The sequence below is a fragment of the Homo sapiens genome, chromosome 16 (genome assembly GCF_000001405.40).
Source record: "Homo sapiens chromosome 16, GRCh38.p14 Primary Assembly".
Taxonomy (NCBI): Eukaryota; Metazoa; Chordata; class Mammalia; order Primates; family Hominidae; genus Homo; species Homo sapiens.
The window spans coordinates 20042963-20070167 of record NC_000016.10 but is presented as its reverse complement, the minus strand read 5'-3'; the positions used below and the strand labels follow the sequence as shown (position 1 = coordinate 20070167).

At 44.2% G+C, this 27205-nt stretch overlaps 1 protein-coding gene across 2 annotated transcripts in view; it reads left to right on the top strand.

Annotated features, from left to right (window-relative positions):
- The window catches only part of GPR139 (G protein-coupled receptor 139), a 45652-nt gene that overhangs the window by 3723 nt on the left and 14724 nt on the right, over positions 1 to 27205 (top strand). The window lies entirely within an intron of this gene.

The window sequence follows — 27205 nt, the reverse complement described above, 5'->3', positions numbered from 1 at the left end:
ATCTACTGTCGCACAGTCAAGCCAGCATGCAAACATGCTGCCTTATTAAACAGTGCAATAAGGCAAACAGTGCAATTTTGTTGTATGGCTTCACCTTCATTAATGCCAGGCAGTTGTTTGAACTAACCTCTGTCCCTCCTTTCTGTGCTCTGTGGAGAAAATCGGTGTCCCACCTATTCCTAAAACTCCATCTCTTTCCCCCTTTCCTCCTCCTTTTTAAGTAAGAAAGACGTTTCTCACTTCTCGAGACACACAAAATAAGTCAGCAGAGCCAAAAAGCAAGGATTTGGGACACTCATTGGACCAACTGGAATGAGACAGTACAAAAGAGACAGCAATGCAGGAGAAAATGATGAACTTGAGCCCCTGGGGGAAGACAGTGAGAGGGAGGATGGGTGGGCCAGCTTGATAAGGAAGGAGCAGTGTGAAATTAAACTGAGATTTGAGAGATTTTAAAAAAAATTACCTTCTAAAGAGTGCCGGGGATGTGCAGAAAGACAAGGTGAGGAAAGAGATGATAGCTTGAAACTGCATGCCGCCCAGCAGAAGGGTGCATTTCCACCACTGCCAAGTGAGAATGATAACATCTGTAACATGTGCCTTTGAGAGTTGGTGCAAGATGAAGGCAGATGATGAGTCTGTAGCCTGGCAGATAGTAAATAAGCCTGACGCATGGTAGTTACCATTGTTGTCAACTAGAAGTAGAAAACTGGTGATCTGTCAGCTGGACTGAGGCCTGCAGATATGTTTTCTTTACCTTGTAAACATCTTTAATGAGAGAAAATGGAATAAACAGGTTAAAAGGACACACTCTGGAGCTGGACCTCTGGGGTCTGAGTCCTGGCTGTGCTGCTTACAAGTTATATGACCTTGGGCAAGTGACTTTAACTGGGAGTGATTATAAGAATAGTCTACAGTTCATAGGGTTGCTGTGAAGATTAAATGGGCTAAGCACTGAGCACAATGCCTGGAATATGGTAAGCACTCTATACGTTATTTTTTCATCATTTAAAAATTAGGAAAAAATCCCAACTCACTTTGTGACGCCAGCTTTATCAAAACCGGACAAAGACATTACAAAAAAAGAAAACTACAACCCAATGTTCCTCATGAACATAGACACAAAAATCATCAACAAAATATTAGCAAATCTAATCCAGCAATATATAAGAGGAATAACATGTCAGAATCAACTTGAGTTTATCCCAGGAATACAACACTGGTTCGACATGTGAAAATCACTCAGTATAACTCATCATATTAACAAACTAAAAAAAAAAAAAATTTTAAGGCATGTGATCCATCTCAATAGATGCAGAAAAAGCACTTGACAAAATTTAACATCGATTTGTGATAAAAACTCATCAAACTAGGAAAAGAAAAATAACTTCTTTAACTTGATAAAGGGCATCTATAAATAACTTATGTCTTACAACACATTTAATGATGAAAAAACTGAATGCTTTTTCCCTAAGATCTAGAACAAGGCAAGGATGACTGCTCTCACCACTCCTATTAAACATCATACTGGAAGAAGTCCTAGCCAGTGCAATAAGGCAAGAAAAAGAAATAAAATTTATACAGAAAGGAAGGAATTCAGTAGTTTCGGTTCACAGATGATACAATGGCCTTCCTAGAAAATCACAAAGACTCCACACCACAAAAACTCCTAAGAACTAATAAATGAGTTCAGCGTGTTTGCAAGATACATGGTTAGTATGTAAAAACCTATTGTATTTTTATATACTACCAGTGAATAATTTGAAATTAAAAACTGGAAATTTTAAAAAATAGATTTCCAAGTTCCCTTAAAAACACCAGAAGAATTCACATTAGATTCACATGCCCACAAGACAGCAATTTTCTGGAGCTGAGGAATAGCTGCTTGCTTTATTTTATTTCTCCTTTCTTTTTTTTTTTTTTTTTTTTTTGCATTAAATAGATAATGATATTCATGTGACTCAAAGCCTAAAAATATAAACAGGCACACATTGGAAAGTCTCCCTTCCATCACTTTCTCCTGTTCACCACTTCTCAAACCCACCATCACAGAGGTAACCACTGTTATTAGTATTTTAGTTTCTTATGTATTCTTTCAGGGTATCTTCATGCATATCCGAGAAAATATCAATTATGGATTTCAACTCTCCCTTTTTTTTCACTGTCCCTAAAATGAGCACATTATACACACTGTCCCACATTTACTCTTTTTCCACTTAATATATTAATCATCCACGATGGCTTTCTCATTCTTTTATACAGCTGTATTGCATTCTATTGTGTATTTGAATCATAGTTTCTTGGTTGACTGCCCCTTTCAAAAGCACATAGGCACTCCAATGCTTTTTTTTTTTTTTTTTTTTGAGATGGAGTTTTGCTCTAGTTGCCCAGGCTGGAGTGCAATGGTGCAATCTCGGCTCACCGCAACTTCTGCCTCCTGGATTCAAGCGATTCTTCTTCCTCAGCCTCCCAAGTAGCTGGGATTACAGGCATGCGCCACCATGCCTGGCTAATTTTGTATTTTTAGTAGAGACGGGGTTTCTCCACATTGGTCAGGCTGGTCTCAAACTCCCGACCTCAGCTGATCCACCTGCCTCAGCCTCCCAAAGTGCTGGGATTACAGGCAAGAGCCACTGTGCCCAGCCAGCACTCCAATTCTGAATAGTCTCTAATGGCGTGCCTAATTGACCTTTGTATACTGCATGACTCGTCCTTAGGCACATTTGACCATAGGACTCCTGTTATAGCAGTGAGAAAAAGAGCACTTCATCATTCCAGGTTTGATCTGGCAATAACTCACTGTGTGACCTTGGCCGAGTTATTATTAATGGGTCTCTCAAAGGCCCAGGAGAGCCAGGTTCTGCTGTGTTGCTATAGTTGGAGACATGGCCCCATGGACAGGACATGAGCATAGACCAATGATGTAGCTATGCTGGAGGCTGCCTGGGCTGGCTTTGGGCTGGGATCCAGTACAGCATTTTTGTAGTTTTCGCTCCTGCTTAGTTTCTGTAACGATCATGTTAGTTTTGCTTTGTGAGATTGAGTGTAAAATACATTGCTTTGGAACTGGATGTGGATTTAAATTCTGTTTCTAAACCATGTTTGCTGTGTGATCGCAGGTATAACACTTCACCTCTCTGAGCCCCGGTTTTCCCATCTGCAAGAAAGTGGGCAGTTGAGTTTAGCAGTTAAGCCCAGTGGTCTCTGAAGTCAAACTGACTGGGTTTGAATCCTGTGCCCCTGACTGCTAATCTGTGACCATGGGCAAATTTCTCACCTTCTCTGAGCCTCAGTTTCTTCAGCTGTGAGATGGAATAACAATACTTCTCTCATTGGGCTGTTTTGAGGATTAAATGAAATTACAAGAATGCTTAGCACTATTCTCGGCACGTGTTCACTCTCACATAGAGTAAGAGTTCAATAAATGCTATTAACCTTCTGTGCCCTGGATTGGTTGCTGTGACGATTAGAAATAAAATATGCAAAGGCTTCTCACAGTGCCTCACACATTGTAGGAGCTCGGCAAATAGTAACTCGCATTGTTTTATTGTCTAACATGTCCACGTGCTCAAGCCTTATAAATGGCCTGTAGCCACACATCACTCTGTGCATAGGTCTTTTCCATGAATCCACAATTTCACTCAAAGTGGAAATGAAACAACATGCCCTGGCAAACTACAAGAGAATGATCCAATAGATTAAGCAATCAATTCCATCATAAGCCTAGGGAATTTGTCCCCCTAAAAGAGTTGCCTGTGATTCAGTGAAACTCCTAGAAATAATATCAGTGCAGAACATGAAATGGCCTTCAGCTACAGCTGGCAGAGACCGACAAACACCACCAGCAAGGTTGTCCTGGATAATGCAGTCAGAATCATGAACAGAAAGGGTCCTGCCACTGAACCTCCGTGTGGATCTGAAACATATTGGCAAATGGTGATAGCCAATGCCAGCCCTGCAGAGGGCACCATGAAATGATAGTGGCCAGGTGTCTTCAATTCAAATATTTAAACGGAGCAGTCAGATAATGTAAATGAACAAAGTAGTCTAGTTTTTAAGAAATGCTTCACTTACCCAAAGAATCATGCTTCTCTGCGGTTTTTCTGAAAGGCTGTGGCTCTCCTCATCTCTATTTTTTCTCAGTTATAGAGACAGATGTACAAAACAAACAAAAAAACAAACTATTTCTCTTAATAATTGCTGACACACTTATAGTGCTTACTATGTACTAAGCATTCTTCAAAACACTTCAAACGCATTAACTTATTTAACTTTTTTTTTTTTTTTTTTGAGATAGTCTCACTGTGTCACCCGTGCTGGAGTGTGGAGTGCAGTGGCGCGATTTCAGCTCACTGCAAGCTCCATCTCCCAGGTTCAAGCGATTCTTCTGCCTCAGCCTCCCGGGCAGCTGGAATTACAGCCATGCACCACCATGCCCTGCTCATTTTTTTGTGTTTTTAGTAGAGATGGGGTTTCACCATTTTGGCCAGGCAGTTCGCAAACTCCTGGCCTCAAATGATCCACCCATCTCAGCTTCCCAAAGTGCTGGGATTACAGGTGTGACCAATGCGCCTGGCCTCATTTAACTTATGATTCTTTGACGATTCTTTGAGGCATGTATTATACCCATTTTTCAGGTGAGAACTTTGAGACACTTCCCCAAGGTCACACAGTGAAGAAATGACAGGGCAGTATTCAGTACTGCTTCTCAGCTTTCATGTAAGAAAACAGCAGCAAACGCTCCTCAATGATAACCAACATTCAGACCAGGTCGAGAGAAGTGGGAGTGACCACAACAGGAAAGATAGGGACTGAGGGAGCTACAAAGTGCCACTGCCACTCAGCTTTCCAGCCAGTGGTTTAGTGTTGCCAAGTTGTTCAAAAAATCTAGAAATCCAGATTTTTATATGAAATGTCCATTGTTTCACATGTTGGCAACTAATTCAAAAATTTCAAAAACACTATGTGAGCCAGCACTTTGTGAGCCAAACCAAACATATCTGCAGGCTTGATATGGCCCAGCACGCTGCCAATTCACAAACTCAGGGGTTGGGAAAGCTGCAACAAGCACCAAAAAACACCAATGGGGTCACAGCAAGTGGAGAAAAAAAAAGAAGAAGAATCTAGAGGGAGGATCGAGGAAAAACAGGGATGGAGACACAGAGAAATATGTGGCTAAAGTGGAAAAGCATGCCAACCCATGAAACCAGGGATTTGGGATAAGCTGGAATAAAGAGCTCCAAAAAATACCACACATTGCATGCTAACAACATCTTGAAACACAAATCCACCATTTTGTTTTGGAACAGGAAGTGTCCTTAGAACCTGCCAGCATGGTGGATCAGGATGTAGGCTCTGTACTCCTCAGACCTGGGTTCAAATTCCCGCCTCGTTGTTTCCTGTTAATGGGGCTCTGGCAAGTGGCTTCACCCTTTCGGAGCCTCAGTGTTCCTATCTGCAGAATGGGTATAAGAATCCCTTTTTCACAGGGTTCATGGTGTAGCTGAAATGAGATAATTCAGGGTTGCCTGGGGCACAATGTCTGGTACTAGCCATTACTATGTGCTAAGAATGCTTCAAAACACTTCAAATGCATTAACTTATTTAACTTTTGTTGTTGTTGTTTGAGGCAGAGTCCCAGTGTGTCGCCCAGGCTGGAGTGTGGAGTGCAGTGGTCCAATTTCAGCTCACTGAAAGCTCCACCTCCCAGGTTCAAGTGATCCTCCTGCCTCAGCCTCCCGAGTAGCTGGAATTACAGCCACCATCCCCAGCTAATTTTTTGTGTTTTTAGTAGAGACAGGGTTTCACCATGTTGGCCAGGCTGGTCTTGAGCTCCTGGTCTCAAGTGATCCACCCACCTCGGCTTCCCAAAGTACTGGGATTACAGGTATAAGCAGTAATGGCCGCTGTGTTTTCTATGAGTCCAAACATCCCCATTTTATGAAATGAGGAATCTGCAGAGCTAGGAATGTGATATGGTTGAGGTTTGTGTCCCCATCCAAATCTCATCTTGAATTGTAATCCCCAAGGGATTAGGGAGTGACCTGGTGGAAAATTATTAGATTAAGGGTTGCTTAATCTTTTCTCATGATAGAAAGTGAGTTCTCATGAGATCCAATGATTTTATAAGGCAGTTTTCCCTGCTTTTGCTAGCTCTCTCTTTCCTGCCACCATGTGAAGCAGGTCTTTTCTTCCCCTTCACCTTCCACCATGATTGTAAGTTTCCTGAGGCCTCCCCAGCCATGTGGAACTGTGAGTCAATTAAATCTCTTTCCTTTATAAATTACCTAGTCTCAGGTATGTCTTTATAGCAGTGTGAGAACGTACTAATACAGAATAGCAGAGTCTTAACCAGAACTTACTTTTCCCAAGTCTCAGTTCACTTTTCACGAAATCACACTGCTAGCAGTCTCTTAGGAGGAAGCAAAAGGAGTAAAGGAAAAAGAGCCTGGGAGATTTTAGAGCTCAGAACGATTGCTTAGATATTTTTGGTTTGTTTTGTTGGTATATAGGATTATTTTAGGTGGTACAAGTCTGTAGCATTGAATCTCTTTTCAGCTGTCTTAGTCCTTCTGATTCCATCAAAGGGAAAGTTTCAGCTTGGTGCTAGTGTATGTTTAACACCTTTTTAAATATGTGGTAAATCTCCCTCTTTTATTTTTTAGACAGGGGCTCACTCTATCACCCAGGCTGAAGTGCAGTGAAGTGCTCACTCATAGCTCACTGCAGCCTTGAACTCCTGGGCTCAAGGGATCCTCCCATCTCAGCCTCCTGAGTAGCTAGGACTACAGACACATGCCACTGCACTCAGTTTAAATCTCTCTTTTGAATAGACACAGAGCAGGCCTTGGGCCCAGACCTTGGCAGGCAGCAGCACCTAGCTGGAGTTTAATGTGACTCTTGTATGGTCATTGTATTTCTATTTAAGACTACCTCCTGTTTACAACAGGGAAGGGAGGCTGATTTGTGATCTGGGGTGGTTATATACACGTGCCGTCCAATAGAATAACCACTAGCTGCATGTAGCTACTGAGCATTTGATATTTGACTAGTGCAACTGTGGAACTGAATTTTTTATTTCATTTCATTTCAATTAATTTACAACTAAAATCACATACTCAATTCAGTTAGTAGAAAATAACTGTATACTTGGAACAACTTGAGTATGTGAATCTACTCTTTCAATCACACATTTTATGACATCTAAATAGAGGTCAGAGACTTCCGATGAAAATTTGTCATCCATAGGGATATGTGTGCTGGAAGCATGAAATACACAGCAGATTTTGAAGATTTAGCATGAAAAAAAGTTAAATATCTCATCAATAGTTTACATAAATTACATTTTGGATGTATATAGTTAAATAAAATATATTGTTAAAATTATCTTCTCCTGCTTCTTTTTACTTTATTAACGTGACTACTAGGAAAATTTTAATTGTATATATGACTCACATTTATATTGGGCAGCACGATTATATAAAGTATAAATTTAAGGAAAAAAAGGCAAATCACTTTCAAACAAAATGCTAAATAAATGATAGTACTCGTGACACAAGAATGCAGCAAAAATCACAAAGTTGGTGGGTGTCTTGGTCTGTTTGGGCTGCTGTAACAAAGTACCATAGACTAGGGGGCTTATGTACCACAGAAATTTACATCTCACAGTTCTGAAGGCTTTATAAATTAGTGGCTTTATAAACTAGTGACTTCTTTTCTTTCCCCTCAAGTCTGAGATCAGGGTGCCAGAGCAATCAGGCTCTGGGAAGGGCCCTCTTCCAGGTTGCAGATTCCTGACTTGTTGTATCCTCTCACGGGAGAAAGAGAGGAAGACAGCCCTCTGGAGTCCCTTTTATAAAGTCGCTAATTCCATTCATGAGGGCTCCATCTCAGGACCTAATCAATTCCCAAAAACCCCATTTCCTAGTCCCATCACATTGGGGGTTAGGACTTCAAAATACAAGTTCAGTGGGGAACACATTCAATCCTTTGCAGTAGGACAGTCACTAAAGTCTGGGGAACACTGTTCTAATACAATGTCCTTTTTTAAAAGTATATTTAATTTAGAGATGGGGTCTCACTATGTTGCCCAGGCTGATCTCAAACTCCTGGCCTTAAGTAATTCTCCTGCTTCAGTCTCCCAAAGCTCTGGGATTACAGGCACAAGACCCTGCACCTGGCCTACAATGCCCTTGATGGAAAAACTGAGGCTTAGAGGGAAAGGAAATTCCCCGGGGATGCATACATAGCTAATTAGCAGCAGAGCTGGGCCTTGACCCCAAATCTCTGGGATTCCAAATCCAGTGTGCTTTGGCCATTGCTGCAATTTGGCCATTGCAGCAGTGCAGCAGTGCAAAGCAAGTGATCAGCCTCCACCTCTACCAAGGGAAATGTAAAGATGGTAGGGTCAGGCGTGGGGAGGAGGTGACTACCTTGGATCCTAGTACAATTCAAAGGGAGGGAATTTTACTGTATGAGTGACCCAGGATCTTTGTTTTTCTATAAAGTGGAAGCAGAATGGCTTGTGCTTTTCTTAAGTGATGGTCATGACCTGCTGGACTGCATTGAGAGGAAGCTAGGAATTTTAACCTCAAATGTGTGCTTTCATTTTGCCCCATGGCAAAAAGGATGAGAAGAGAAATCAGAGAGCACAATCAGACAATGCACCTGCATTCATTGACTCATTTGTCCAGCCATCCATTCACACATACATACATACATCCGCCCACACATCCATCCATCCATCCATCCCCCCATCCATTCATCTATCCATCCACCTATCCATCTATCCATCCATCCATCCACCCATTGATTCATCTATCCATCCACCCATCCATCCATCCACGCATCTATCCATCCATATGTCCATGCATCTGTCCATCCATCTGTCCACACAGCCATCCATCCATCCATCCATCCATCCATCCATCCATCCATCCACACATCCATCCATCCATCCATCCATCCATCCATCCATCCATCCATCCATTCTGGGCCTGGCATTGCTAGGTACCAGGCACCATGCTAGGTACGTGGTGAACCAAAAAAGACCCATTTTTTTGCCCTTGTGGCATTTACACACAACACACACACACACACACACACAGAGGAAAGACTAGCATGATCAGAAACCCAAATAAGTGTAAAAGTTCAACTGAGAAAAAGTCATGAAAGAGAGCTACTTGGTGCTGTGAGAGCCTATCACTCAAGAAATTGACCCAGACAAGAGAACTCAAGGAAAGCTCCCCTCAAGAAGGAGTGATCGAAATCTGAAGGACATGGAAGGAAAGAGTGGAACGGAGGGGACAAAGGGAGCAGGCTGTGCCATAACCCTGAGGCAGGAGGGGACTGGTACACACATATCACGACAGCAAGAGGGTCAGAGTGTCTGGAGTGACCAAAAAAGGAGAAGGGGGATGCATGGTGCCAGATGCAAGCAGAGTGAAACAGGAGGCCAGCACCTTGTAAAAGCAGGTAAATTGACCCTGAGTTGGGACAATACATTATACAGAGTATGAACTGATGTGTCCACTAATGACTTCTTTTCTTTCTCCACTTGTTTGACAAACATGGGTAGAGCTGGGGGAATTGCTTTTCAGCCACAGACATTTCCTATTTTCAGCTAAGTGCAAAGCAAGCGATCAGCCTCATCATTTCAACTGGGGGACTCTACCCAGACACACAGACACACACACAGGCGTGCATACACAGACACACAGATGCAGACCCACACAGACACACATGCAGACACACATCACATGCAGAGACACACACACATATAGACACACAGAAGTACACATCAACTTGCACACATAGAGATGCACACACAGAGACATACATGCAGATACACACCACACACAGAGATACACATATAGACACACAGATGCACACATGCACCACACACACACACGCACACACACACACACACCCTGCAGCCAAAGGTGTAGAATGGCCATGGTTCTGTTCTCGCTGCAGCTTTTAACTTTTAGCATTCCAGCCTCACCACAGTTCAGCTCCACGGAGCTGCTGACAAGAACCATCATCTGCCTCCTGAAAGAAAGCAGTGTCTTCCCTGGAATGTGGTGGAATGGGCAGTGGTTGGAGAGAGAGCACAAGAGGGTTGGAGTCATAAGGAGGGTCGGGGTGGGCATCCCTTAAAGGAATCAGGGACCCACACTCCTGACCCTCACAGACCGTGGTTCCACCTTGTGTCCTCCCTCTGCACCCACGACCCTTCCAGAACACCCCTTCTTCCCGGCAGAGGACGTCATGGAGGCAACAACGGTTTAGGGATGGGGCACACCTGGGCTTGAGTTCAGTGCTGCAACGTTGTTAGCTGCAAGACTGTGAGCAGGTAATTTCCCCTTCTTCGAGCCTCAGTTTCCTCATCTGGGAATGAGGGTGATAAGATCAACTGTGTTCACTTAGCTCATATCCATGAGCCCCTGTCATGTGCCAAGCACTCTTCTAGGCAGTGGGAGAAAGCAAAGAAAAATACGAAGAAGTCCCTGCATGAGCAAGGAGACAAGCAGCAGGCAGGGAAGCCAATGCACACACAAAACCATTTCAGATACTGACATGTGCCATGGAGACCATACGAGGTAAGGTGACAGGGAGCTCCATTAGGTTGGGTGGTCAAGAAAGGGTGTTCCAAAGTGGTGATGTTTGAGCAGAGACCTAAATAATGAGGTGGAATCAGCCAGGGTAGGCGTAGAGGGAACAGCCAGGGTAACCCAGAGGTGAGAATCAGCTGGCACGAAAGACCAGTGAGGTTAGAGTACAATGAAAAAGTGGGAGAAGGGGCAGGAGATGATGGGGAAGAGATAGGCACAGGCTGGGCTAGGTGGGTGATGGTGGGGAATTGAGATTTGACTTCTTACATGCTGCAAGAAGGCACAGGAGCCCTTTGAAGGGTTGACATGATCCAATTTGGGTTTTCCAAAAGTCTCTCTGGCTGCTATGAAAAGAGTAAATGGTAGAGATGAGACGGGCTTAGCAAAGAGAGGGAGGTTCTAATGGGTGCTGGGCAGAGAGAGGATCATCACCAGGGTGCCCAGAACAGGGCCTGGCACCCAATAGGAGTGCGGCTCAGAGGCCATGTTCACACCCACCCTCTCTCATCCTCCTCCCACCCCAGCCACCATCACCTTCAGACTCCACATAAAATATAGACAGCCCAGAGAAATGAGCAGGATAATGATGTTCTCAGACACCAAGGACGTCTGTGCCGGGCTCTCGAGGGCTGTGGGAAGCGCCCGCGGCACAGTGGAGAGTGATCCTCCCAGTCGTAGCAGTGGGCGAATCCTGCTAATGACCTAGCTGTCAGCTGTAAGAATCCTGAACAGAGAGAAAACAAGGGCCTGAGCTGGGCTGCTGTCCGACAGAGGCAAACTAGAAGAAAAAGGTCACCTTCAGCACTGTCGTTTGACAAATAAAAGGGATTGAGTTCTGGCCAGCGTGACGGAGGGACATCGTCACTGTGACTGCATTCAGTACTGATAACATAGTGTCTAGCAGGGAAAAGGGAATAATGACCCCAAGTCCAAGGTGGAGATTCCAAGGACATCTTGAAAATGGCAGACATAGCTCGCAGAAGAGGGAAGAAAAAGGTGGTTGCTTCTTGGATCTTCTCAAAACAGACCTTCAGGCCAGAGAAGGATGGCTCTGCCTCTCCCTATTCCCTCCACCAACACAAAGATTTTTCTTACACCTGATCTGTTTCTCTCGCTTCTGTTCCCTGCCTTGCCCCTGTAGGAATTTGAGTTTGCTATGTTCACGCCTTCCTCAAATTTGACTATGTATACAATACACACACACACACACACACACACACTCCACATCCATTTACACCATCACATTATTTGTCTTATCTCCTCTCCAGCCATTCTAAATGCCTTTCCTGCAAGAAAGAAGGGCTGTAAGACCTGGATTTGAGTTCCACCTGGAGTTTTTGCTGGGTATAGTTAAATCCTCTGAACCTCTACATATCCGTAAAATAAGGATGAGTGCCCATCTTATTGAAGGGAATATGTAATGTAATATACATAGAGTGCTTGGCACATAGTAGGCATTTAACCAATAGAAGAGTTCCTTTTTTAAAAACTGACAAGGCTTTCCTAGTAGATCCTCCCCTGGGCCCTTTAGGCTGCATTATCAAGGACCAGGTTTCATTTCATGAGGCCCTACTTTGTGCCAGGGACTACAGGGGATAATGATGCAGGGAAAGACAGAGATGCACATGAAATGGCTTTTGCCCTAAAAGAAGTCACGCTCTAGTTAGGTAGAAAGGAAAATTGATCATCATAATAAAATTAGACTAGTTCTACAATGAGATGAGGGTGGTGAGGGGTGAGGGCATTTAAATTCCTGTGGGGACTGGAGGAAGGGCTTATCTCTGCATAGGAACATTGAAAAGATGCTGAATTAGACTGTGTACTCTTGACAGTAGGCATGGAGTCTAAGTCAACTCTTGACTCCAGGGTCCTCTGGTGGGCCTTGGCACATGGTAGGGGGCCTGGTAGGTATTGGATGGATGGATGGGTGGATTTATAAGTGGATGGAGGGATGGGTGGAGGGATGGATGGAAGGATGGATGGAGGAAGGGAGGGAGGGAGGAAGGGATGGATGGATGGACGGATGGATGGATGGATGGATGGATGGTATAGATGGATAGATGACTACCTTCTTAATCCCATAAATGTAATCTTCATACTAGCCTCCAAGAATACTGAAGACAACGTCTTGATCATAACTATCTTCATCACCATCATCACCACCATTACCATTTGAGTACTTACTCTGAGCCAAGCACTAGACCAAAATGTTGCTCCATGTTGCCTTATTTAATCTTTACAGCAGTGCCTGTGAGATTGATACTTCCATCATGCTCATTTGGCATATGGGGAAACTAAGGCTTCGAGAAGTAAAGTGGCCTGCCCAAGGTAATTCAGCCAGTGAGCAGCAGAGCTGAGATGCGACCGGCCTGCACGTCACTGCTTATGTTCTGTGCTTGCCATTGGGCCCACTGCAGACATTGGTATTCAGGGCACAGGACAAGAAAAATGCTGTGTCTACAGACCACTCTGCCTTGTTCATTCTCCCAGCATGGTCTTTGCAGCTGTTTCAAGGAACTGTGTCTTCCTTCCTGATTGAAGATTCTCCCGACATCATCCCCATTACCCTCTCCCCAAGTAGATGTTTTAATTACTTGAGATTATTTTTAATCAAGGACAGGTAGGTGAATTTCCTCTACACCCCACACCTAACTTACAAAATGGAAATTGAGTTCCCTCTTCCTTAAAAAGAATATTGTGATGAAACAATCCCCCTGAAAAAAATTTCTCCTCTTCCAGATCCTTCCTTCCAAGGTTTGCTTTCTCAGCCTTAAGTGGGCTCAATTTCAGTCGAGTACTTAGAATTCCAAATCCAGTTCACATAGTGAATGTTTATTGACCACCTATTATGTGCCAGACTCTATTCCTAATGCTTAAAAAGAGTCATCAATTATAACCATTAATGTTAATAAAGTGCTGACCAATGTGCAAAGTGAATTAAAATTTACAAAGAGCTCATCCATTATGAAACTGAAAGCTCAGAAGAGTTAAGAGACTCTCCCAAGCTACTACGGGTAGGCAGGACTGAAAACCGAAGCTACATTCTTGGATCTCAAACCCAGGGCTCATCATTCCCATATAGACACAAAGCTGTCAAAGGCAGGAATGACCTCCAAAATGAAGTTACCCCTCTGAATCCTACTGGGACCTTCCATTGTTCTTTCGTTTGTAAATTGTGATAGCTACTTGTGCCATAAAGGAAAATAAATCTGGGTTCCTACCCTCAGGAAGGGCAGAGTCTAGTTGGAGAGATGCAGAAGTAAATCACATTACTGTGAAGACTGATGTATGACGTGCAAAAAGAAAGCCCAGCATACCATGGAACAAAAATGGAAGCTCATCAACCCCAGTCTTGGGTTGGGGAGCAGTGCTGGGGAAAGGGTGGGGTTGACAGCATGATGGCATAGCCCCAAGTCAGTAGCCAAATACTGCATTCATGCCTTTCCACCACCACATCCCCTCATTTCACAGTATCCATGGCTGAAACATGGATAGTAAGATTGCTGACTTCTTTATGATAGACACTAAACTAATAGTCATTTACCATAGTTAAAATTAACATTGAGTTCCTACTACATGTTAGATACTGTTTTAAACACATTACCTGAATTAACTAATTTAATCCTTCTAACCCTATGAAGTAGATGCTATTACCCAATTCTACAGATGAGAAAACTGAGGCACATGGCAAATTACTAAATGGCTCAAAGCCAAGCTTCAGACCCAGGCAGCAGGTGCTAGAGCCTATGCTCCCATCTGCTGAACAGCGGCAAGAGGTGAGGATTTTAATAGTGTTTTTGGGAAGGAAGTTCTCTGGTTCTAAGCTCAGTCAAGTGAGTATTTCCATGAAAGCAGTCATCTCTGTCTTCTGAAATGGAGATGTGGGGTGGAGACACCCACTTCTGGGAGATAGAATGGTAAAGGCTGTCCATGTTGGAGATAAAGATACATCTCCACAAACCAGGTAGTAACTGTTTTTTCTGAAAGGAGGTTGAAATTGTTAATGAGGGTGGCATCTAATTCTCCATCGGGTGGACTAGGTTTGAGCTCTGTTTTTTACACTGGAAAGAGCCAGAAATTGGTAGAACAGTTGTGTGGGAGATCTTGTGAGACTCCGGACATATGTAGAGCTGTCTGGGGACCCAGGAGACAGAGTGCACAGCCCAGAGTTGGAAAGGTGACCATTCTCCCCACCTCTGCCCCAAATGTAGCCTGCCTTGGTTATGGGCATTAATAATGTTGTAAATCTTCCTGTGTTAGTTTGCTAAAGATAATGGCCTTCAGCTCTATCCATGTCCCTGCAAAGAAAAGACCATCATCCTTAGCAAACTAACACAGGAACAGAAAACCAAATACTGCATGTTCATGCTTCTAAGTGGAAGCTAAATTATGAGAACACATTGACACATACAAGGGAACAACACACATTGGGCCTATCAGACGGTGGAGGGTGGGAGGAGGTAGGGGATCAGAAAAAAAATAACTGATAGATACTAGGCTTAATACCTGGGTGATGAAATAATCTGGGGCTGGGCACAGTGGTTCACACCTGTAATCCCAGCACTTTGGGAAGCTGAGGTGGGTGGATCACTTGAGGCCAGGAGTTCGAGACCAGCCTAGCCAACATGGCAAAACCCCATCTCTACTAAAAATACAAAAATTAGCCTGGCATGATGGTGTGCACCTGTAGTCCCAGCTACTTGGGAAGCAGAGGCACGAGAATCACTGGAACCTGGGAGGTCGAGGCTGCAGTGAGCCAAGATCGCACTACTGCACTGCAGCCTGGGTGACAGAGCAAAACTCTGCCAAAATAAAAAGAAAAAAGAAGGAAAGAAAGGAAGAGGGAGGAAGGAAGGAAGGAAGGAAGAAGGAAGGAAGGAAATCTGTACAATAAACCCTCCAGGACAAGTTTACCTATGTAACAAACCTGCACATGATGTACCCCTGAACTTAAAATAAAAGTTAAAAAAAAAAGAACGTTGTAAAACGGAATCTTCTTCCCATTCTATATTCTAACTAGCCATTACTGATACGTCTGGGCTTTGGTCCTCTTGATGATGCTCTTGCTGGCTCTAATAACTTTTCAGTTAATTTTCTTGGGTTTTCTAAGCACACAATTATATTGTCTGGAAAAAAAAAAACTGATAAGAACAATTATGCCTTCTCCAATTTCTACACCTCTTATTTTAGTTTCCCACCTGATGACTTTGGCTAACCTGCAGGTTTGGATTCTTTACTAGCAGCATTAGTATTTGGGATTAGTTAATTTTACCAATAGTATTTTACTAGAATAAGGAACACATACTGAGTTTTTCAGCACAAACAGAATGACTTTGGTAACACAGAGCTAAGAAGCCCCTGCAGTGACTCAAGTATAAAATGATGACATCTAGACTCAGATGCTGCCTTAGACAAATATTTGTCAAGTTCCTACTGTGTGTCAGGTACTGTGCTAGGGACTAAGAATGTGGCCCTAAACAAGACTGACACACATCTGCCCTCCCAAAGCCCCCAGAGTCAGGATGAGCACACAAAGAAACAAGACAGAATGCATCTGAGAGGTAGTTTGATGAATAATTTTCTGGATGTGATCTTACAGGCAGGCAACAAAATATTACTCCACGTCTCAAAACCTGGTTGTGTAATTGATAATGACCAGGAAATTGGCTAAATTTTTATTAGCTTCTGAAATCTATTACAATCTATTCATCTGAAAAAAAAAAAAGAAGATGAGAGCAATGAAATTAGAATTCTTCATCTATGAATGCTTATGAGAATGCGGATTCAAGAGAAATTAGCAGATATTTTAATTTTCTGCTATCTTGCTCTTGATACCAATCAGGATACCTCTGAAATATCTCGTAATGATTAACATTTGTCTAATGCTTATCCACTCTGCAAAACCACTTCACATGCGTTATCTCCTTAGGTCCCCACAACAACCTTGGGAGTTTGCAAAGCAATTTCACTGAGGTTATCCACTGGATTCTTGAATTCTCATCCCTCATTTCCCTGCAGTCCACACGCCAGCCAAGCCTGTCGTTTTACAGTTCTGCAAACACAGCATGCTTTCACACTTCCTTGATTTTTCACTTGCGGCTCCCTCTGCCAAGAAAGAAACCCATCCTTGCCCATCCAAGGAGTGTCCTATTTATTCAAGGAAACCCTGGGCAGGCAGGGAAGATCCTCTTCCTCCTGGGGCAGCTAGGAAGGTCTGGGCACCTTTGAGTAGGGAGCACCCAACAATGATGCCCATGTCAGGGGTAGACCAGCAGGCCGGTGGGCACAAGTTCTGTCCTGCATCTGATTTGGGTGTCAGTGAAAACAATGTTCCCCATGCCCCCTCTTATAGAAGTCTAACAAGTGATCCGTTAGAGTTGATCAGACTTGGCTTCAAATTTCAGCTCTTAACTTACCAGCTATGTAACCTTGGGCAAGTCTCTAAACCCAATCCTAAATCCCCTTCTAAATAGAGTCCATTAACATCTACCTTCAAAGCAAGAGGAGCTGCAATGACTATTGCTTATAAAACACTTGAGGGAGAGAGAGCTTTGGGAAAAATAGCTAATGCATACTGGGCTTAATACCTAGGTGATGGATTGATAGGTGCAGCAAACCACCGTGACGCACCATTTATCTACGTAACAAACCTGCACATCCTGCACATGTACTCTGGAACTTAAAATTAATAATTTTTAAAAACACTTATTCCCATTTCTAGCTTATAATAAGAGATTGTTAAATGGAAGCTTTTTTTTTTTTTTTTGAGATGGAGTCTTGCTCTGTCACCCAGGCTTGAGTGCAGTGGCGCGATCTCCCAAGCTCCGCCTCCCCGGTTCACGCCATTCTCCTGCCTCAGCCTCCCGAGTGGCTGGGACTACTGGTGCCCGCCACCACGCCCGGCTAATTTGTTGTATTTTTAGGAGAGGCGGGGTTTCACCGTGTTAGCCAGGATGGTCTGGATCTCCTGACCTCGTGATCCGCCCACCTCGGCCTCCCAAAGTGCTGGGATTACAGGCGTGAGCCACCGCGCCCAGCCGCTATTATTTTTTATTATAAAGATTACTTCCCTTCTGGAAGAAAAAGTTATAGAATCGTGTCTCATCAGCAGCAGCAGCATCATCACTATGAGTGCTGCTTCTGCTATTATGATTTCCATGTTCTCTTATTTCTAAGGTGGGGCAGAGAACTGCTGGCTTTTTCTACTGACGCTTTCTCTGTCCTGTCTTGGAAACGGTATCGCAGAGGAAAAAGGAAGTTAGTGTGTTTTGTCATAGGCAAGATTACAGGCAAAGGCTGGAGGCATTAACCTATCATCACTGGTGGCTGGACAAGCTGGTTCATAAATGATGGACAAGAGTCATCCAGACAGAGTGGATGGGGGAAGTGTTAGAAGAGGAGAGAACTGCGTAGGCAAAGGCCCAGGGGCTGGAGTGAGTGTGGTTTGTTTAGGGAGCTTGAAAGACCGTGGTTTCTTTCAGCCCACATATGGTGGGCAGGAGGGGTGAGTAAAATGGGATGGAGACTGGCAAAGGGGCCAAGATTCCAGTGGTGCTTATTATGTACCCCAATACTAGTCTCATTTTAGAGGTGAGGAAACAGGCACAGAGAAGGTAGGTAACTTGCCCAACATCACACAGCAAGTATGTATCAGCTCTGGATCCAGCGCCCACGTTCGTTACCACTGAGCCGAGAAGGCATTGCTTCTTTTTCTCTGTGACACGCAGGCACGTGTCCTGAAACCAGAAAAGAAGCAAACTCCTCCAGAGTCATGAGGAAGCAAACTACCTTCACCCGCTGAACTCAGCTGGAGCAGGTTGGAAGCCGCTTTCTCTGTGCCTCCTCCCAGGGTGCAGAGGTGGGTTTTTAGAAGTTCCCAAACATAAAACCATTTCCATTTCCATATAATTACGCCTCCTTGACCTACATGTCATTTGGCAGTGTGCTTGGGCTGGAGGTACAAAAAACAATTTCTCCAACCACAGAAAATTGCTTCCCGAGGCCCCTGGGTAATTAGACGTTGTCCTCTGGGCATGGCCTGTTCCCTGCCTGTCCACGTCTCCTGGTACAGATGCTGCCACTTCAACCCTGCATCTGCCAAGAGAACGTGGGTCCCATGGTGGAACAGAATGTCCATTAGGGAGGTAGCCTTGGGGAGCGGGCAGCTGGGCCATTTGCACCAAAGAATTTTCTAATGTTCTTGGACACCCAGATCCCGTGGGACCTTCCCTCTGCTAACCCAAGACGCGGAGGAGGGTGTGCATTGTGTGGGAGGTTGTTACCTCTCAGCATTTCTGCTGTCTCTTGTAAAATTTTATAAATGAAAAAGCTCCCATACCAATCCCTATTTGAGAGTTTCACTGAGGTATACAGAATCCTCTGTTCTTCACCTCCCACCTTGTGTCCCTTCAGGGATGTCTGTGGTTTGGGGGAAAAATAATAAGTTTCTTTCTTTATTTCCTTCTTCTTTCTTTCTTTCTTTTTTTTTTTTTGAAACAGGGTCTTGCTCTGTTGCCCAGGCTGGTGAGCAGTGGCACGATCTCCACTCACTGCAGCCTTGACCTCTTGGGCTCAAACAATACACCCACCTCAGACTCCCAAGTAGCTGGGACAGCAGGCACTTGACACTGCACCTGGCTAATTTTTTTGTATTTTTGTAGAGATGGAGTCTCCCCGTGTTGCCCAGGCTGGTCTTGAACTCCTGGACTCAAGCTATCTGCCCACCTCAGCCTCCCAAAGTGCTGGGATTACAGGCATGAGCCACTGCACTTGGCAAATAATAAGTTTCTTGTTAGTAAAACCCCTTAATGTTTGATGCCCCTCAATGACTGCCTATTGCCTCCCAACAGATCCAACTCAAATAGGGCTGCAAAGCCATTGAAATCAGGGACTGTTACTTCTCTACCTTGTCTCCAGCCAGGCCTCCCTCCCTACTCTCTCTTGGGTGAGGGTGAGCAGATGACATAAAAGAGAGAAGCCTCGTGGGGATGTGAACTGGACGGAAGCCATAGGTGGAAATGTGAGTCTAGCATGGCCTTCCCTTCTGATTTTCACAAGAAGCTCAAATCCAGGACTGGATATGAAATACTCCAGTTTATAAATACAGCAACTAATTCAGAAATCTTACAGATGCATCTGTCTCCTAGCCCCACCCATCCCTGCAAAGAATGCACCCCACAAGCAGTCGGTCTGTGACCTCTATTCTATGCTGAACTTCTACCTGCTCAACAGCCATCCCGTCTCTTGCTTCTTGGCCTTTGCACATTTCGTTCCCTCCTATTGGCATGCTTTGCTTCCCAGTCACTCGACTGGCTCCTATTGCCCGCTCCCATCACTGCACACATGCTGCTTTCTCCAGGAAGCCTTCCATGATCCTCTATATTAGATTTCTTCCCTCTTCCTAAGTGCTCCCATAGCTTACTGTCTTATTCCTTCATGGAGCTTCTCTCTGAGTATCTATCTGGCTTCTCTGCCAGGCTAGAGCCTCCAGGAGGGCAGAAACTGGTTCTTCAGGTTTACTGACATCTGCAACCTGTGGCAAGGTGCCTGAACACATTAGGGAGTCACTATTTGCAATGGAAAGAAAGCGAAGGAAGCTGGCCTGAGTGGGCTTGATGAATAAGGCAAAATGCTCCTCACTTAGGTTGGGTTGGTGAACAACCAAAATAACATTTGAGCATCACCATGTGCCAGGTGCTCTTCTAAGCACTTTATTTGTGTTAATGTATTTAATTCCCACAAGAATCATATGAGATAGGCATTACCATCCCCACTTTACAGATAAAGAACATTGAGGCATGGAGTGTTTAAGTAACCTAGCCACAGTCACAAGACTAGGAATCAGCAAACCTGGAATTCAACCCCATGAAGTCTGGTTTCACTCTCGGAGCTCTTAATCTTTCCTCATTTCAACAAGGGAAAAGTGTTCTAAGAGTGAAACTGTCAATCACATTCAATAGGGAAATGAATTCTATTTCTGAGCATCTACTCCATGCCAAGCATGGTACAGATGATTTCGCACATTAAATTACTCAGTCTTCTTAACAGCGCTTTGGAAAGATGTCCCCATTGCACAGATGAGAAAACTGACTTAAGTGTTACGCCCAAGTCAGTAAGTGGGGAATTTGATTCAATAGCTATTATAGAAGGTAACAGAAAGGAGTGCCCAAGAAGCTACATAGACACTGGATTTAGAGAGAAAAAAGCAGAGGAAAGGGGTGTGAACAGTCATCACACATATAAGGGAACACCATGAAAATGACAGCAAACAGATGGATGTCACACAGAGAGAGCCTTGGGGAGTCCATCCATCCATCTATCCATCCGTTCATCCATCCATCCATCACTCTTTCATCCCACAAACATTGATGGAGTGCATACTCTTTGACAGCCCTGTGATAAGTCCTCAAGGTTTAGAGTAAAGAGATACAGTCCCTGCTTTCCAGGGGCTCCCAGTGAATGGGTGATAAAGATCTTGAAGAATAGCATCATAAAAATGTGTTAAATACTCTGGCCAGTGAGGTGCTTAACTCAATGCATTGAGATCAGAGAAGGCTTTAAAACTAAAGTCTTCTAGGCAAAGGATTGTGGGTGGGGAAGGTATTTCAGGCAGAAGAAATAGCCCATGCAATGCTATGGAGGTAGGAAAGTGTGTTGCACGTTCAGGCAATGGCTCCTAAAATAAAGTGGCAAGGTGCATTTGCAGGGGTTGCAGAAGGGAGCTGATGGTGCGGGAGGTACCTTGTGGGTTGTGCAAAGATTTTGGATGTTGGCTGGTAAAGCAGAGGTCTCAAACCTGCAACCCATGGACCACCCTGTGTATTGGGATGGGGTGTGTAACTGTGTTGCTTGCAAGCCTCTCCTGAAACACTGGAAGACCTGACCACAGTTGGCTGTCATTCTCTCATGGGAAACTACCAAGTGGAGCTAAATGGTGACCACCCTCCTGCAATGGGGCATGCGATATCCTGCTCACCGGAAGTGCCCACATGGCATGCCCACACATTTATATTTCCTGCCCAGGCCCTGTCATCATTTGAGTTTGCAAAATCTAACGCGGTGCCATTGAAAGGAACAGGGATTTTGAAATGATGCCTCATGCTGCCTTGGGATGATCTATTTAGCAAGTTCTCAGCACCTTGAGCCTAAGGAACAGATCTTGTACTCTGGGAGCCTGACCCAGGCTCTGGTACATGGTTGGGCATCACTAAATTTATGTTGAACTGAATTGGATTTATGTGGAAGATTCTGGCACAAACCCTCTTCTCAGGCAGCTAATGGTCCCAAAAAGATCTCTCCCACACACTGAACACCAAATTAATTTCCAATTACCCTGGATTACATCACCTGATTCATTTTCTGCAGTAAACCCTAAGTACATTCAAAACTGTTAACCAGCCTTTTGCTTCTCTGCAATGTTAAGTTAATCTATATTCATAGTTATTCATTCATTTATTCATTCAACAGGTATTTATTGAGAACCTACTGTATGCCAGGAACTATGTAAGAGCTTGGCAATATATTAATAATAATCAGCAAAGCAGGCACACTTCCTGCCCTTCCAAACTTTTACCCTGTCTAATAGTAAAGATGATAAAAAGTGTATAGCATGCCTAGCACCGGGCACTTTCCCTGTATTAATTTATTTAATCCTCATGAAAACCTGTGATAGGTGCTATATCAGCATACTTTTCATAGATGAGCAAACTGAAGGCCCAGAGAGGTTAAGTAAATTGCTCAAGGTCACACAGCTAGAAGGCTGCAGGGGCAATTTGAAACCCAGCAATCTGGCTCCAGAATTTGTACTCTGCCACCTGTCTTTCTAAGATGACGCTAGGACATGCCTTCTAAATCCTTAAAGTGGTGATCATTAAAATTGTGGTCAGCTTTCATGACACCTGCTGCCATGGAACCCTGGGTATGTAAATGAACCATAAAACATGTTCTGGAACCTTGATATAGACTAGTTCATTTTCCCCCCGATGTCACGTGTTATTGTTTTTTCTTCTTTTAAATTGGAAACACTGGATGCAAACCTAATATGAGGAAGGAGCTAGAGGATGCAAAGTCAATAGTTACTGGTTGCAGTTTATACATGGCCTTAGCTGCAGGACACGCAGGTCAGCTGTCCCTTAAAAATGATCCCTAAGGGCTGGGCACAGTGGCTCACGCCTGTAATCTCAGCACTTTGGGAGGCCAGGTCAGGCCTCCCAGGTCAGGAGTTCGAGACCAGCCTGGCCAACATAGTGAAACCCTATCTCTATTAAAAATACAAAATTTAGCCAGGCATGGTGGTGGGTGCTTGTAATCCCAGCTACTTGGGAGGCTGAGGCAGGAGAATTGCTTGAACCTGGGAGACGGAGCCTGCAGTGAGCTGAGATGGTGCCACTGCACTCCAGCCTGGGCGAAAAAGCGAGACTCCACCTCAAAAAAAACAAAAAAAAAATCCCTAAGAAGAGAAGTTTTAAGACTAGAAAGACAGCTTGAGTCACTGACTAAAGTTTGTTTTGTTTTTATTTTTGTTTTGCATGAACATAGCTCACTGCGGCCTCTAACTCCTGAGCTAAAGTGATCCTCCTGCTTCAGCCTCCCAAGTAGCTGAGAATACAGGCTTGCACCACCACACTCAGCAGATTTTTTAACTTTTTATAGAGATATGGGGTCTCACTATGTTGCCCAGACTGGTCTCAAACTCCTGGCCTCAAGAAATTCTCCCACTTCAGCCTCCCAAAGTGCTGGGATTGTAGGTGTGAGCCACTGAGCCTGGCCATTTTTTTCTTTGTTTTAATGCTTCTGTTTCTTCACTGTGTTACTCACAGTCCCTACCATTCCCAGATCCTCGAGTGCCGTTCTCCTCAATCTCCCCCTGCATGTTTCTCTGAAGCCTTCCCTCGCCACAAACTCAGAACCCAGAACTCATTGCTGCTTCCTCTCCAAGTGCCCAAGAAAATGTCTCGGCCTCCTGGCTTACACTTACCACTTGGTCATGTAGCCTCTTTCCCTGTCTGCCTCCCTGACTAGAGGGTGAAATAGATCTGCCATCCCTCACCTGCAGCCCCAGCACAGAAAATGGCACATAATACACGCTCAGCACATGCTATGGGAATAAAAGAAGTCTCAGAGAGATGAGAAACTTACCCAAGCCACAGAGCTAGTTGGCGGCAGAGCAGAATTCTACTGAGTCAGAATGGACTGTAAGCTCCCTGTGGATGCAAACCACTTGTGTGTTTGTCTATCACTGCATCTCTGTGTCTGGAACAGTGCCTGATTCACAGTGAGCAGCTCAGTAAACATTTGTTGAATGAATAAGAGAATGCCCATCTTATTTAATTCTTCCTTTGTCCTTGTCTTCATAGGAGAATGAGGCAGGGTAATGGAAAATGATGGCTTTGTGTTGGCTGCATTTTGTATGCACAATTGATAAGCTATTTGCCCACAGCTAAAAATACCTACCCCTGGCAGCCATTGGGAGAAGCAGATGGATGATGCTTGGCACAAGATGTTTAATCAAACAGCGACAACCAAGGCAGAGCCTCAATTAGCCTCTGACACCCCAGCGAACTCCAGATGAAGAGCACAGAAGCCTCTGATTTCCTGTTGGTCCCCTCGCACCCAATAACCTTCACCCCTGTGTCCACAAAACAGCAAAAACAAATAAGTATCCCCTGGCCAAGGCAGTCGCTAGCCGGAAATCAGTAGATGGGCAGGACTGGCAGAAGCTGAGCACGTGGGGCAAAAACAATGGAGAATCAGCCAGTGGGGAGCATCATTCGCTATTGAAAAGGGGCAATGGGCAGGAGCTCAGTTGTATGCCCTGGATTTCAAGGAGGTGATTAGCTCCCCAGATCTCCTTATCCCCACTGATTCCCAGGGGCTGGGAGTGGCGAGCATTCTCAAAGGCCATATGACTGCTCTGAAATTGATCCTTCTCTCAACTTCCCTCATGCCTCATAGGTGCCAGCTGATGGACACTGTTTAAAACTAATAATAATATGTTACAAAAGAAAACAACTGGCCCATTTCTATTTAATGGTCAGTTCCCTGAGCTGATTATGGAGGTATCTGGACAAGTAAGTGCATCAAATGCACTCTAGAGTCTAACAAATTGTTTTTGAATCCTGGGTCTTGCACATACTTTCTGTCTGATCTGGGCAAATTCCTTAACCTCACTGAACCTCAGTGTTCCTGTCTTTAAAATAAGGATATTAATAGTAGCTATCTCATGATGTCGTATGAGGATAAAATTCAGTGCAAGTGGCCAGGCGCAATCTCTCACACCTGTCATCCCAGCACTTTGGGAGGCCGAGGCTGGTGGATCACCTGAGGTCAGGAGTTCGAGAGCAGCCTGGCCAACATGGTGAAACCCTGTCTCTACTAAAAATATAAAAATTAGCTGAGCGTGGTGGCAGATGCCTGTAATCCCAGCATCTCGGGAGGCTGAGGCAGGAGAATTGCTTGACCCTGGGAGGCAGAGGTTGCAGCGAGCCGCGATTGCACCACTGCTCTCCAGCCTGAGCGACAGAGCAAGACTCAGTCTAAAAAAAAAAAAAAAAAAAAAAAATAGTGCAAGTGAAACCTCTGGCAAGTGAGCCAAATACAGTCAGTGCTCAATAAAGGGAACTGTTATTGTTAAATGTACCAGCCTTGCTCAGGTGTTGGAGAGTGGGAAAGCTGGAAGAGGCATTTGATACCATTGCATACAACTTTAGTCAACTTCCTAACCCTTTCAAGCCTGAATCTTTTTTATCTGTAAGGGGATGAAAATAGCACCTACTTTACTAGTAAGGATTAAGTACTAAATATTTCACAGTAGTTATTAGGTATTGCCTGGTATTATAATGTTAGGTAATATATCATATTATAGACAGGCAGTATACTTGGTGTATATGAAGATGTGAGCTCAGTGCCTAATACGATATAAGCACTCAATAGCTATTAGCTGCTCTGAGGGAACAGTAGGGATCTCTTCTTTCACGCCTCTTTACCTTTGCACGTTGCCATTCACTCTCCCTGGAGAGCCCTCTTGTGTCTTATCTGCCTGTTAAACTCCTACTCATCTTCCCTAGATGTGAGCCACGATGCTGTCATTATCATTATTATTGCCTATTATGAACTCACTCATTTTACAGATATGGAAACTGAGGTCTTAAGAAGGAAGATGGCTTGTCCAGGAGCAGATAGGGGTCTATATCAGAGCCCAACCTACAGTGTGGCATCTCCTGACAAACCTGAGAAGTCTAAGGACATTTTCATTGATTGAGTCTGAGAAATAGGGTCTTTTCTTGAGCTAGTTCTCACAAATCAAGAAATATACCAGAAGACTGTTCCTAGAATTGCCAGTGCTTCTTCCCTCTCATTGAGCCTTTGCCTGGTTCAATTTATCACCTTAGCAGGACTGATTGTTATGTGTCCTTAATAACATGACTGCTTATTGAGTGGTTTCTTCAGGCCAGGCTCCATGCTAAGAGGTCTGTGTGCACAATTCTCTCTAATCCTCACAGCATCCCTTTGAACCAGGTACCATTTTTACTCCCATTTTATTGGTAAGGAATCCAAATCTCATTATGTTTACACAACTTGTCCAAAAGCACCAGCTAGAAAAGTGCAGATCTAGAAGGCTCATCTGGATCTGTCAGGCTCCAAATTGCATGTCTCCGGTTTTAAGTATCCTCTCCTCTCTAGTAACTCCTCTGCTCATTGTTTGCTGGAGAGCCACCTGCATGTTCAGGACTTGTTCTTGTAAAGCCCTGACCCCATCTGTCTTTGTGACAAACTCCCAGAACTGAGAAAACACCACTGCATTCATCACTTGGTATGAAATTGACCCAAGATAGTGCCATCAAGTCCTTTCAAGGTACTTCATCTTACCAGCTGTGCCATCTTCAGCAGGTGGCTTACCCTCTCTGAATACCAGTTTCCTCATTTGTGAAATGAAGATCAGAAGCCTATATTCTACCTGCACTGCCATTTTAATCAACTCACTTTTAAAATAAACTGACCTTATTATATAAGCATGTCTTTATCACTACCCTACATGGAGAAATAACATTCCTCTAATACCATTAAAACTAAATGCATAATTTTAAAAATAAATATGTTCATCAGTGAATCATGTAAAATCATCTCATCTACGCAAAGCCACCCAGCACATAGTAGGTGCTGCTCAACATAGGACAGTCATTAGAAAATGAACTTTGGTACTGAGATATACAGTTTGGAAACCATTGGGTCTGTCGGCTGGCTTGGATGTGGTTTCGTGATTGAGGTCTGGCAGTTATTATGGTTCCCAATGAAGCTGTCCATGGTCAAAAAGCCAGAACCAATTCTGCTGTCAAGAGGAGGTCAATTGGTTGGCAAGGCTGACTCCAGCCCTGCAGCCCGGCTGCTGACTCACCTTTCTCCATTGCCCTGAGTCAGACTGTCCTGGAATAGCAGCCATCTTATCTCTTGCTGCCTACTCATCAGCAAGGAGGAGACTTGCTCGGTCTCAACTGTTCTGGTCTACATTGGAAACCATTGCTTTGCTAATTTCTGGGAGAAGCCAGGGAGGCTGCACCATGGATCCAGGGCCCAGGACCCCAATGACAAATTCA